We start from the raw sequence: 11,904 nt of genomic DNA on the forward strand, positions 1-11,904 counted from the left end.
AAATTAATACCACTATTATGGAAAATGGTATGGAGAGTCCTCAAAAAAGTAAAAATGGTACTACCATATGATCCTGCAATCCCATTACTGGGTATGTATCCAAAGGAAATGAAATCGGTATGTTGAAGAGATTTCTGCACTCCCATGTTTATTGCAGTACTATTCACAATAGCCAAGATATGGAATCAACCCTAAGTGTCCAACAATGAATGACTGGATGAAGAAAATATGTGTATATACACAATGATATGCTTTTCAGCCATAAAAAAGAATGAAATCCTGTCATTTGCAACAACATGGATGAACCTGGAGGACATTATGCTAAGTGAAGTAAGCCAGGCACAGAGAGACAAATACTGCATGTTCTCACTCATATGTAGAATCTAAAACAGTTGTTCATATGGAAATAGTAAATAGAATGGTGATTACCAGGGACTGGGGAGGGGAGGAGCTTGGGGTTATGGGGAGAGAGTGGTCAACAGGTACAAAGTGATAATTAGATAGGAAGAGTAGTTTGTTCTGTACCACAGCAACGTGACTATAGTCAGGAATAAGGTATTGTATACCTCAAAACAGAAGATTTTCTATGTTCTCACCATGAAGAAACGATAAATGCTTCATGTGTTAGATATGCTAATTAGCTAGATTTGATCATTATATAATATATACATGTATTGAAACATCATATTGTACCCCACAAATATGTACAAATATGTGTCAAAAATAAAAATAAATAAATAATGCTGATGAATGGATGTTTATGTTTTTGAACAATTCTTTTTATATTTTGATGTTAAAATTATCTTTATCTTTTGAAAATATGATTTATAAAAGTGAAAAATTGTGGATAGATTCCAGGCATTTAAAAGTTGGCCGGTTAAAACTAGTTTTGCCAGATGCAGTGGTATACATCTGTAACAAGCTACTTGGGAAGCTGAGGTGGGAGGATCCCTTGAGCTTAGGAGTTCAAGACAAACCTGGGCAACATAACAAGATCCTGTCTCCAGGAAAAAAAAGGTTGGGTGGGGGAGGTGAAAGTGGCAGGAAGACCATGACCAATGCCTTGACATGTAATTTTCTCTAGACTTTAAATCTGAAGATCCATGAAAAAAAAAATGTACACACACGCACACACACACACACACACACACACACATATAACTCAAGTATATTGGGTGATATATATTGGGTTGTTGGTCACAGGATACAAAATTTCAGTTAGACAGGAGGAATAAGTTTAAGAGGTCTATTGAACAACATGAAGACTGTAGTTAATAAATATATTGTATTCTTGAAAAATACTAACAGTGAATGTATTGTGTTCTCACCACAAAAAATGACAGCTATGTGAGGTAATACATATGTTAATTAGCTAAAATTAGTCATTCCAGTATGTATACATACTTCAAAACATCATGTTGCACATGGTAAATACATACAATTTTATCTATCAATGTAAAAAATAAAATAAATTTTAAGTCTCAATAAAAGAATACTGTCTTCTTAAAAAAACCTAATTTGCCTTTATAGATAATTTTCAAATCTCTTCTTTTTTCTGCTTTATCACATATTCCCCCAGCATACACAGCACAGACACACATATGCACACAATTCATTTCTGAAGAAAAATAGGGCATAAATCAATCTGAACTTCCATATATTTATCAAATTGATGGCAGAATAACCTTTGGCTTCCTTCAAAGACCAAATCCATTCCTGAAAGACAAACATATACAAGCCTAAAAATTTTCAAAATAGTGCTGAGATAAACTCCCAAAGAAAAATCCCCCAAATGTCTTATGTAACAGCAACTCTACTAAAATAAGCTGAATTGCAAACCAATATTCTTACTTATAAAGTAATAGGATTCATCTGGAAGTATAAATGGGGCTGTGTTTGCTAAAATATTACTTGCATTACTTAACAGTAATAACAACAAACGTTTATGTAGTGTTTTACAGTCCTAACGTAATCCTGTGAAATTACTCAGATATAGTAAAGGAAAAGGTCCTTGATCTGTGTTCCTTCCCCCTTCCCACAATGGTGGTGACCACAGTGATCCTGAAAGCCAAGGTGAAGACAGTGGAGCCCTGTTAGTCTAGGTCCTTCCCTTGAATGTGTGGAGCAGAGCCACCCATGTGTGTGAATTGTTCACCAACTAGTTTTTATGTTTGGGAGAAGTGAACTTCTTTTTGTCCTTTCAACCATATTATTTAGTAATCTGCCATTATAACAACTTCATCTTTTGCCATCTCTTTCTGAATTCATCCTTACCATTTGTTATGACCCTGTCCAGTAAACCATGTGGAGGGCAAGCCAGCATTTGTCTCAGTCTTTGTACGTGATTTGCTTCAGTTGGTGTTTCTTGTAGCTTTTTTTCACTGCTTTTCAAAAGAATACTTCCTTCTGTTGGTTCATTTGCATCTATACCTTTGAGCTTCATAACTGTCTCCTCCTGTGTTTAAAGTAATTTTAAAAATCCTTAAAACTGTATATATTTTACACATATTTATAGGTACTGCATCATCACCTTACAAATCAAATTTCTATGACTAGCATCAAGGATAACACTTTGTAGAAAAAACTCACAGCTTTATTACTAGCTAATCAGCTTGAAACAAGAATGATACTAGGAGTATTTAGCACAGTCACTATTTTTAGTACAGGTTGAGTATCACTAATCTGGAAATCTAAAATCTGAAATGCTCCAAAATCTGAAACTTTTTGAGCACTGACATGACACACAAGTGAAAAATTCCACACCTAAAGTCACATGACAGGTAACAGTCAAATGCAACTTTGTTTCATGTACAAATTATTTAAAATATTATATAAAATTACCTTCGGATTACCTGTATAAATATGAAACATAAATAAATTTCCTGTTTAGACTTGGGTTCCATCTGCAAGATATCTCATTAGGTGCATGCAAATATTAAAAAAAAAAAAAATCCAAGACACTTATAGTCCCAAGCATTTCAGATAAGGGATATTCAACCTGTATTATAAATGCTTGGGTCACATAACATTTTATTATGTTTTATAATACTGGGTTTTAAAATAAGCATATTTAAGATAAAATTCAGGGCAATAATTGGCACATATACCAAAGTGGTTTAGAAAAAGATAACTATCTGTAATGAAAACCACTTCACATTCATTAATCTACTTGAATTTAAACAATAAAAAGGAAGAAACCAAAACCATTCTAGAGATTAGGTCAGAGACACAAAGCGTTTCATAGGCTCTCCATTTTTCTAGTTACAGGTAGGGTCAGCTGGCAATGATGTTAGCTGGGAAAACTGGTAGTCACACCTGCCTTGGATTGTGTAAGTTTGGGGATAGGAGAATTGGTAAATGAGTGGTAGAATATGAAGAAAACACAATTCTATCACAGCTTAGATTTACCTGTGCTTCTTGATGCATGGAGGGCGTGTAATTCATTCCTGTGGATGGTTCTGAATCTTCATATGTAATTCTTTTATCTTCATCCCCCATTATTTATAATTAAGAAGATGACACAGGGAAGAGGAACGAGATCTGTTTTGAAAGAGTATAGATATAGAGCAGTAATTTGAAAGTCTTGTGATTTCAAAGACTTTGGATTGTACTTATTTTTTTCCCTAAAAATTCCGAATGGCTAAACTATTTGAAATTAGACTATTCTTAATTTTCAATGGCTGGTTATTGTTTTTGCTTGATTCTAGTATATTATCATCATTCTTATCTACCTTTTTATTTTTCTTGAAAAAGCCTTTGTTGACCAATCACATTTTTATGATTTCTTTCCCATATTATTTTTTGAGTTAAACTTAAAAACAATCCAAGCAATATCAGTGTTAAACTGTCCTCTCTCATGGGCCAACTGGATGAAGCAGGAAGTCTCCAGGTAACTTTCCAATGTTGATATGAGGAATGAGTCACTAAAGGGAAATCTCTGGATTTCATCCTTTTCGGAGAATCTAGAGTCACTAACTCCTGCCTGGTTCTTATTTCTAAATTAAAGTTTAAAAATACACCACAATTGACTGAGTAGCCAGAATGTCTCAGACACTATGATGAGTGCTATGGTAGTCACTTTTTAGTCATTGTGGGCAATTCAAAGATTACCAAAACATATTGTTTGTTTTCCATTGACTTATCATATACCAGGAAAAATAAATTTATACCAAATAACTAAGAAAACCTGTAAGACTACGGATTGGCTCAATAAACACTCACTTCAACACATTCTCCCTTGGCTTTCCATGCTATACAGGCTACAAGGCAAATACAGCACTCCAGTTCCTAGCCACTTTTGTAGGTAGAGGTGGCCATGTGTCACAGTTCTACATATGAGATTTAGGTGGGAGTTTTGGGGGAGGCCTTTAGAAGATAATACTTTGTACTTTTTGTCCTCTAACATTTCCCTTTCTCCTTCCTAGAATGTAGATACAGTGCCTGGAAGGGCAACAGACATCTTTCAAGCATGAGAATAAAAGCCCTCTATTTAGGATAGTAGATAAGTAAGATAGGAGAAGCTGGTTCCTTGATGACATCTTCCAGTTGCTCCATCAGCCTTGGACTGCCAAGCATTGGGGTAATTGTTTAAACCACTATTAATCAAGTTTTTTCTTCTTTTTTAACTAGTAAGGAAACTTACTCCTAATGCAACAAGTAGAATGAGTATCTTGATAGAGGTACACACTACAAACTTGTGGTAGAATCAAAGAGAAAATTATGTAAGAGAAGGGAAAATCTAATTCAACACATATCAAAGTGCCTAATGGGTTCCAGGCACTATGCTAGACATAAAGACAAGGATGAATTAGACAGGACCCCTCCCTCAAGGAATCATTTTCTCTGTTCAACGAAGTGCCAAGAAATTTGCATTTAAAACTTCAAAAAACATCATAATCTTTTTACCACAACCACCCCCATTTTTCCTACTTACAAAACACATGGTAACCAGAGTCCCATCTCAAAAAAACCTTTAGTTTGTTTTTTATTATACATAATTTGTAATAAATGTTTATATAATGATATATATGTATGTGTATGTATGTTTGTATATATAATTTTTTAAATTAAAAAACTTATTTCAAAATTTAGACTGATAATAAAAAAGTCACTTGATGAGAAAATGTTAGACTCAGAGAACACTTGTCTTAAAGGCATGGAGACATGAAAGCCAGTGGTGTGTGAGGGGAAACTGCTGGAGCTTGTGGCAGGAGGCTGAGAGTAATGCGAGATCAGGTTAAAGAGTTAGGATATCATATCTCAAACCACGGCACTTGGCCTTTACCTTCTGAAGTGAATGACCCCAAATATGGTAACTGACAAGATGGGCTGGGTTCGAATTTGGATAAGCCTGAATTTGAAGTCCATCTATACCAAATTGCTTAACCTCTTTGTGATTAGTTTCTTATTTATGAAATGGAGACAAGAATAGTTCTAACTATGCACAGTTGGCATTCAATAGTGTTGGTTATTGCTAACCATGCATATTCCTTCTTCCTGATTATCATAAGAAGAATCTTTAAGAATCATTTTGCTTTCCCTATTAAGCAAGAAAAAGTCACCTCAACCTTGAAGAATTTACTACTTAATCCCATTGATTTTATTTGGTCATGATTTTTCATCTGTTTTTGAGGCCCACTTCTTGATCAGGTGGATGTAACATTCATTTCTTCACCCTTCTCATTAGGAGAATTACATAGAAATTCTTTGGCAGTACCACTAGAATTACCTCTTTCATCAAATTCTCAAAATCAGCCCATTCTGCCACTTACAAAAACTATTTTTAAATAGTCGTGAATTAGAAATTATTATTTTTAGTAGACAAAAACTATTGGTTAAAATGAAGCCTTTGCGAACAAATTTTATCAATGTTATTATGGGGTCCTTTTAAATATAAACAATCACAACTTGGCATGTTATGCCATCTGTGGGAATTTATATAATTTTACATTCCAGAAAAGTTCCCTATTCTCCAATACTCTCAACCATAAATGCCAAAGTACTTATACATGATCAGAAAGGTACTGCAGAAATAAAGGGTAAAATGAAATACATGTCTTTTAATGAGCCCAGTAAGAGATCTTACAACTAGTCAGCTGTATTTGTTTGCTCTCTGCTGTGTTTCCATTTCTAAAAGACCATTTAAAATGCATGTCTCACTTCAGGAACCTACTTAAATTTAGGAAAATTTCAAAAATGTTAGCTTTACTTAAAGTGACCATGTTCATGGTATTTATTATTTATAGTCATTGGGTCTTGAAATTACAAAAATGACCTTTGAAGGGCCATAAAAAATGTCATGAAATGCTTATTAGAAAGTTTATTCTCCTTACTCATAGAGAGGCTCTTAAGGACTCATGCAGAGCCCATTAACCCTTATTTTGTTTTGTTTGTTTGTTTGATTTTTGAGACGAAGTCTCCCTCTGTTGCCCAGGCTATAGTGCAGTGGCATGATCCTAGCTCACTGCAACCTCCGCCGCCTGGGTTCAAGAGACTCTCCTGCCTCGGCCTTCTGAGTAGCTGGGATTACAGGTGCCCGCCACCTCGCCTGGCTAATTTTTTGTATTTTTAGTAGAGATGGGTTTTCGCCATGTCAGCGAGGCTGGTCTCCAACTCCTGACCTCAGTGATCCACCCGCCTAGGCCTCCCAAAATGCTGGGATTACAGGCATGAGCCACCATGCCCGGCCCTTATTTCGAAAACAATTCTAATGACTTTGCTCCTTTGTTTTTCAAACCCTCAGAAGATTAGGTGTTAAATATTAAAATTCAGGAAGAGATTGCTGTGATAGAGGCAAATTGAGAGCAGCATTAGTGACTGATGACAGTGAAAGAGATGAAAAAGACAGCAATCTAAGAGTCATTTATAGTGGGGGCGACAGAGCAAGACTGTATAAAAAAAGAAAAAAGAAAAAAGTTTTCTTAACCTTTTCTCCCCACTTGAAAGAATTGTCCTTAAGAGATCAAGAATATAAGCAGTTTGATATATGTACCTGTTAAGAAGGAAACAGAAAAAAAAAATCCTTTAACAGCAGTTGCCTTTGGGAAGGGAAATGGAAGAGGAGTGGCTGGACTTTCTTTCTTATTTTCTAAGAAAGATTTTCTTATGTAGGATTTTCTTATGTAATTTGATATATATATATATTTTGTTGTTGTTGTTGTTGTTTTTTTGAGATGGATTCTCGCTCTGTCACCCAGGCTGGAGTGCAGTGGCATGATCTTGGCTCACTGCAACCTCCGCCTCCTCGGTTCAAGTGATTCTCCTACCTTGGCCTCCCAAGTAGCTAGGACTAGAGGCATGCACCACCACGCCTGGCTAATTTTTGTATTTTTTTTTTTTTTTTTTTTAGAAGGAGTCTCACTCTGTCACCAGGCTGAAGAGGGATTGCAATGGCACGATCTCAGCTCACTGCAACCTCCACCTCCCAGGTTCAAGTGATTCTCCTGCCTCAGCCTCCTGAGGGACTACAGGCACATGCCACCATCCCTTGCTAATTTTTGTATTTTTAGTAGAGACGGGGTTTCACCATGTTGGCCAGGATGGTCTCGATCTCTTGACCTCATGATCCACCTGCCTCAGCCTCCCAAAGTGCTGGGATTACAGGTGTGAGCTACCACACCCGGCTAATTTTTGTATTTTTAATAGGGATGGGTTTCACTATGTTGGCCAGAATGGTCTCAAACTCCTGACCTCAAGTGATCCACTGGCCTTGGCCTCCTAAAGTGCTGGGATTAGAGATGTGAGCCACCCTGCCTGGCCCTAATTTTAAATACATTTAAAAATAATCTACTCAATTCCTAAAGCTTTAGAGAAAAGAAAATGGTACCACATTTCTTGGTAATATTTCTCATAGATACAGTCTGGTGATTTGATTTGAGGTAACTTAATAACACCTGCCACAATTTAAAATCATTTTTTGTAGTTGTGATTTTTCAAAGAAGATGAGTAACTGCCCAGAATCACCAATAGCAGTGGTTTTCAAAATTTTCAAGTTTGGCTTTCATGTTTTTTTTTTTTTTTTTTTTGAGGTGGAGTTTCGCTCTTTTGCCCAGGCTGGAGTGCAGTGGCGAGATCTCAGCTCACTGCAACCTCTGCCTTCCGGTTTCAAGCTATTCTCCTGCCTCAGCCTCCCGAGTAGCTGGGATTAAAGGTGCCGGCCACCATGCCCAGCTACTTTTTCTATTTTTAGTAGAGATGGGGTTTCACCATGTTGGCCAGGCTGGTCTCAAACTCCTGACCTCATGATCTGCCCGCCTTGGCCTCCCAAAGTGCTGGGATTACAGGCGTGAGCCACCGCACCCAGCCCTGGTCTTCATATCTTTATGTCAAATATCTTTCATCAAATGAAACCTAATCCTTAAATCCTACAAATGGAACGACTAAGGTGGCGCTGCAGGAGCCCTGTCTACTCACCCCTGTTCCTTCTGGCAAGTGGAGCATACTTTGGAAACCATTTCTGTAAATATGTTTTCACATAGAGAGATATTTGTTAAATGTTCTCTTTTTCATATTATCTTACTAATGTAAATGTTTACAAGTACTTTCTGTAATATTCCAGAAGAAATAAAGGAACTATCAACTTACAAATGTCCGTAGGCTCTCGGTCAAGTAAAATAGACTTACTGCTATCATTTCAGTTACTGCTAAAAGATATGGATAAAGACTTTTTATTCTTGCTATTTGCTGCCTGTGATTTGGATAGGCTGACATTTAAAGGAGTAATCTTATGGAGAATTTACATATATTGCTTGCTATGGCTTGAATGTTTGTGTCCCTCCAAAATTCAGATTTTGGAATGTAACTGCCAAGGTGATGGTATTAAGAGGGAGGTACTTTGGGGAAGTGATTAAGTCACCAGCACTCAACCCTCATGAATGGGACTAGTGCTCTTATAAAAGAGGTCAAAGGGAGCAGCCTAGTCCCTTTGGCTCTTTCCCTTCCACCATCTGAGAACACAGCATTAGTCTCTTCCTCCATGTGAAGAAGACATGGCAAGAAGGCACCATCTTGCAAGCAGAGATCAAGTGTGTAACAGACATCAAATCTAATTAGCACCTTGACCTAGGACTTCCCAGCCTCCAGAACTGTGAGAAATAAATTTGATTATTTATAAATTAATTAGTTTGTGGTATTTTGTTACAGTAACAAAAATGGACTAAGACATTGCTAGAGTACTCTGGGTTGTATTCATGCCTTTGAAAGAGCATCACTATGATTGTTCAATACTCTATAATGATAATAATAACAACAATCTCCTGCCTTTGTGTTCATCCATTCATGTGTTGAACGTATAGGTTCTCAGTCTCATACAGTATTTCTACATAGAACATACAGAAACATTCCAGTTTCTGTATTTGCTTATCAACACTGATCTAATGGTCATTTCCCAAAAGGAGCCCTACCCAGCAATGAGGAATTCAGATCAGGCTCAGAGTAGGGCTTAACACTTTCTTAGACAATTAATTACTAAAATGACTAACAGTGTTTCCCTGAATGAGAACTACCTTATCTGAAAGACTTAGGTGTGTCAAATACATGTGGCCAAGTTACCAAAGGAAAACAACCGCTATTTTATTTGGTTAATTGATTTAGTAATTTCATTGACTCATGAAGGAAAACACTATATAATGAGATAAGAATAAAAGGAAATTACCCCTACATAAGGGACCCAATACTTGCTTTCATCCTTTCTATTCTCTCTCCTCACCAAAGTGAAATATACTTACTAAAAGTTTAAAATATTATTTCTAGGCCCACTAAAATCAGAATCTACAGAGACCGAATCTACCCCAAGTGGGACAGACATGACTTATGGCCTGTCTAAATGCCAAGTGTTCAGGTATGCCAGTAGGACCCTTCTCCCGCCCTAGGGATAAGTCATTATTGGTGTAAATCAATCTCTGTAACACCATTCCTCTTTGCCACTTATTGGCTAAGGAGTGAGCATGATTCATTTCTTGCCATTGGAATTTGTAGGCAAGACTATTGGGGCATATTACATAAGATTTTCCTTCTTAATAAAGACAGAGAGAGAGGAGGAAAATCCTCTCCTCTTTTTGTCTTTAAATGACCAGGTAAAGAGGCAAGGGAAGTTGGGATTGTGGATGGGTTTCTTGGGACAATTCTAGCAGCCATCATTCACCCATGAAGAAAAGTCAAGATTAGCTGAACACAGAAAGCAACATAGAGCCCTGATATTACTGAGCTACTGAACAAACCCTGGACCCACCTACCTTCAAACATCTTCATGTATGAGCAAAGTACATCTGTATTTTTGAAGGGAGTTTTGGCTGAATATCCTGTTACTTGCAGCCAAAAGCATCCTAACCAATATAACAGGTGATTTTGTTGCAGAACCATCCCTGAGAAGCCCTGATGAACAGCAGTGATGAGGAACCTCTGTCTTACAAACTTTAGTTTCTATCTTTCTAGCTTCTTGTTACAGTGCAAAATCATCATAGACAATGAATGATCAGAACACTGCCTTTGTATTGAAATTTCTCAAAAATGTCCAGAAAATAACATTTTATAAAGTTAAAAATTAGTGCCAAGGTTTTCACTGCCATTCTTTTAGTCAACAGAAATTATTTGGATTGTAAGATTATGTATTTCCCCTCCTCTACCCTGAAGTTAAATTGTAATATTTGAATACTGAATGAAGAAAAGTTGGACTTATAAACGTTTGGTTGTTTTCCAAATTTCCACTCATGAAACAAAACAACAACAATAAAATATCACTACTATTGCTGCCTGGAGTTTCATTTCTGCTTTTTCTACTTGAAGAAATTCAAAATCTAACTCAAATGTCACCTTCTCAGTATTTCCTAACTCCAACATTGACAAACTGTCTCCCTCGTTTTCCTCTCTGATGATTCATTCATTCATTCAACAAACAAGAGCTATTAAGCTCTTGTTACGTCCCAGTCCTTGAGCTGAGGATTCAGAAGTGAACGGTCTTAAATAGTTCCTATATTCAGATCTTGTAATCTAGTTACAGGATGATAAAGGATGATAAATGATTCCTAAGCAATCACAATGAAATATGGTTAAGTTTCAACTTTAGACACATAACAACCCCATCCCTTAACAAGTTTCATTTCCTTTTTTTTCTTTTCTGAGATGGAGTCTTGCTCTGTCACCTAGGCTGGAGTGCAGTGGCACAATCTTGGCTCACTGCAACCTGTGCCTCCTGGGTTCAAGCGATTCTTCAGCCTCAGCCTCCGGAATAGCTGGAATTACGGGCGTGCACCACCATGCCCAGCTAATTTTTATATTTTTAGTAGAGATGGGGTTTTACCATGTTGGCTAGGCTGGTCTCGAACTCCTGACCTCAGGTGATATGCCCACCTCGGCCTCACAAAGCCTTAACAAGTTTCTCTGGTGTGATAGGCACAAGAGTAACAAAGATGACTAAGATGCAGTCTGCCCTTTAAGGGATGGTCAGAGACTGATATGTGTTTACCAAAATCGTTTACTCTTCTGCCTGGGTCCATAGTACATTTCCAGTCTCCCTTGCAGGTCAGTGTGGCATGTGACTGAAGTCTGGTCAATGGCATGTGGACATAAATAGTATGTGATTTCCAGTCCTCACCCATAAGAAACAATCCTCATGCAATCCTCTAGTAGCTTTTCTTTTTCTGTCCGTTGCCTGGAAACTAAGGACTCCAAGGTCTTAGGGGATAGCAAAGCCATAATATAAAAGGAGTTTGGGTTCCTGAATAATTGAGTAGAAGGCCAACAGCTGAACACGTGAATGGACTTGACATGAACGAGAAATAAGCCTGAACTATGTTTAGTTACTGAGATGTTTTACTTTATCTCTTACAGCAGCTACTGCTGTCTTAAGGTTATATTCTTCAGTCAATAGCATACGATGATTCTTAGCACCTCGAGGATGCTAACCCA

The 11,904-nt window shown here is 37.1% G+C and overlaps 1 protein-coding gene across 12 annotated transcripts in view; it reads right to left on the bottom strand.

Moving 5' to 3' along the window:
• SLC9B2 (solute carrier family 9 member B2) overlaps window positions 1–11,904 on the bottom strand; it is a 59,291-nt gene that overhangs the window by 46,024 nt on the left and 1,363 nt on the right. For all 12 annotated transcript variants that reach the window (NM_001370201.1, NM_001370205.1, NM_001370204.1 and 9 more), the window contains exons 2-3: window positions 3,409–3,540; window positions 2,275–2,455 (exon numbers count right to left, since the gene is read on the bottom strand). In NM_001370201.1, coding sequence (NP_001357130.1) covers window positions 2,275–2,455; window positions 3,409–3,498 — 271 coding nt within the window. In that variant the 5' untranslated portion in view covers window positions 3,499–3,540. The remainder of the gene's footprint in view (window positions 1–2,274; window positions 2,456–3,408; window positions 3,541–11,904) is intronic.

Source organism: Homo sapiens, chromosome 4 (assembly GCF_000001405.40).
Source record: "Homo sapiens chromosome 4, GRCh38.p14 Primary Assembly".
Classification (NCBI taxonomy): Eukaryota; Metazoa; Chordata; class Mammalia; order Primates; family Hominidae; genus Homo; species Homo sapiens.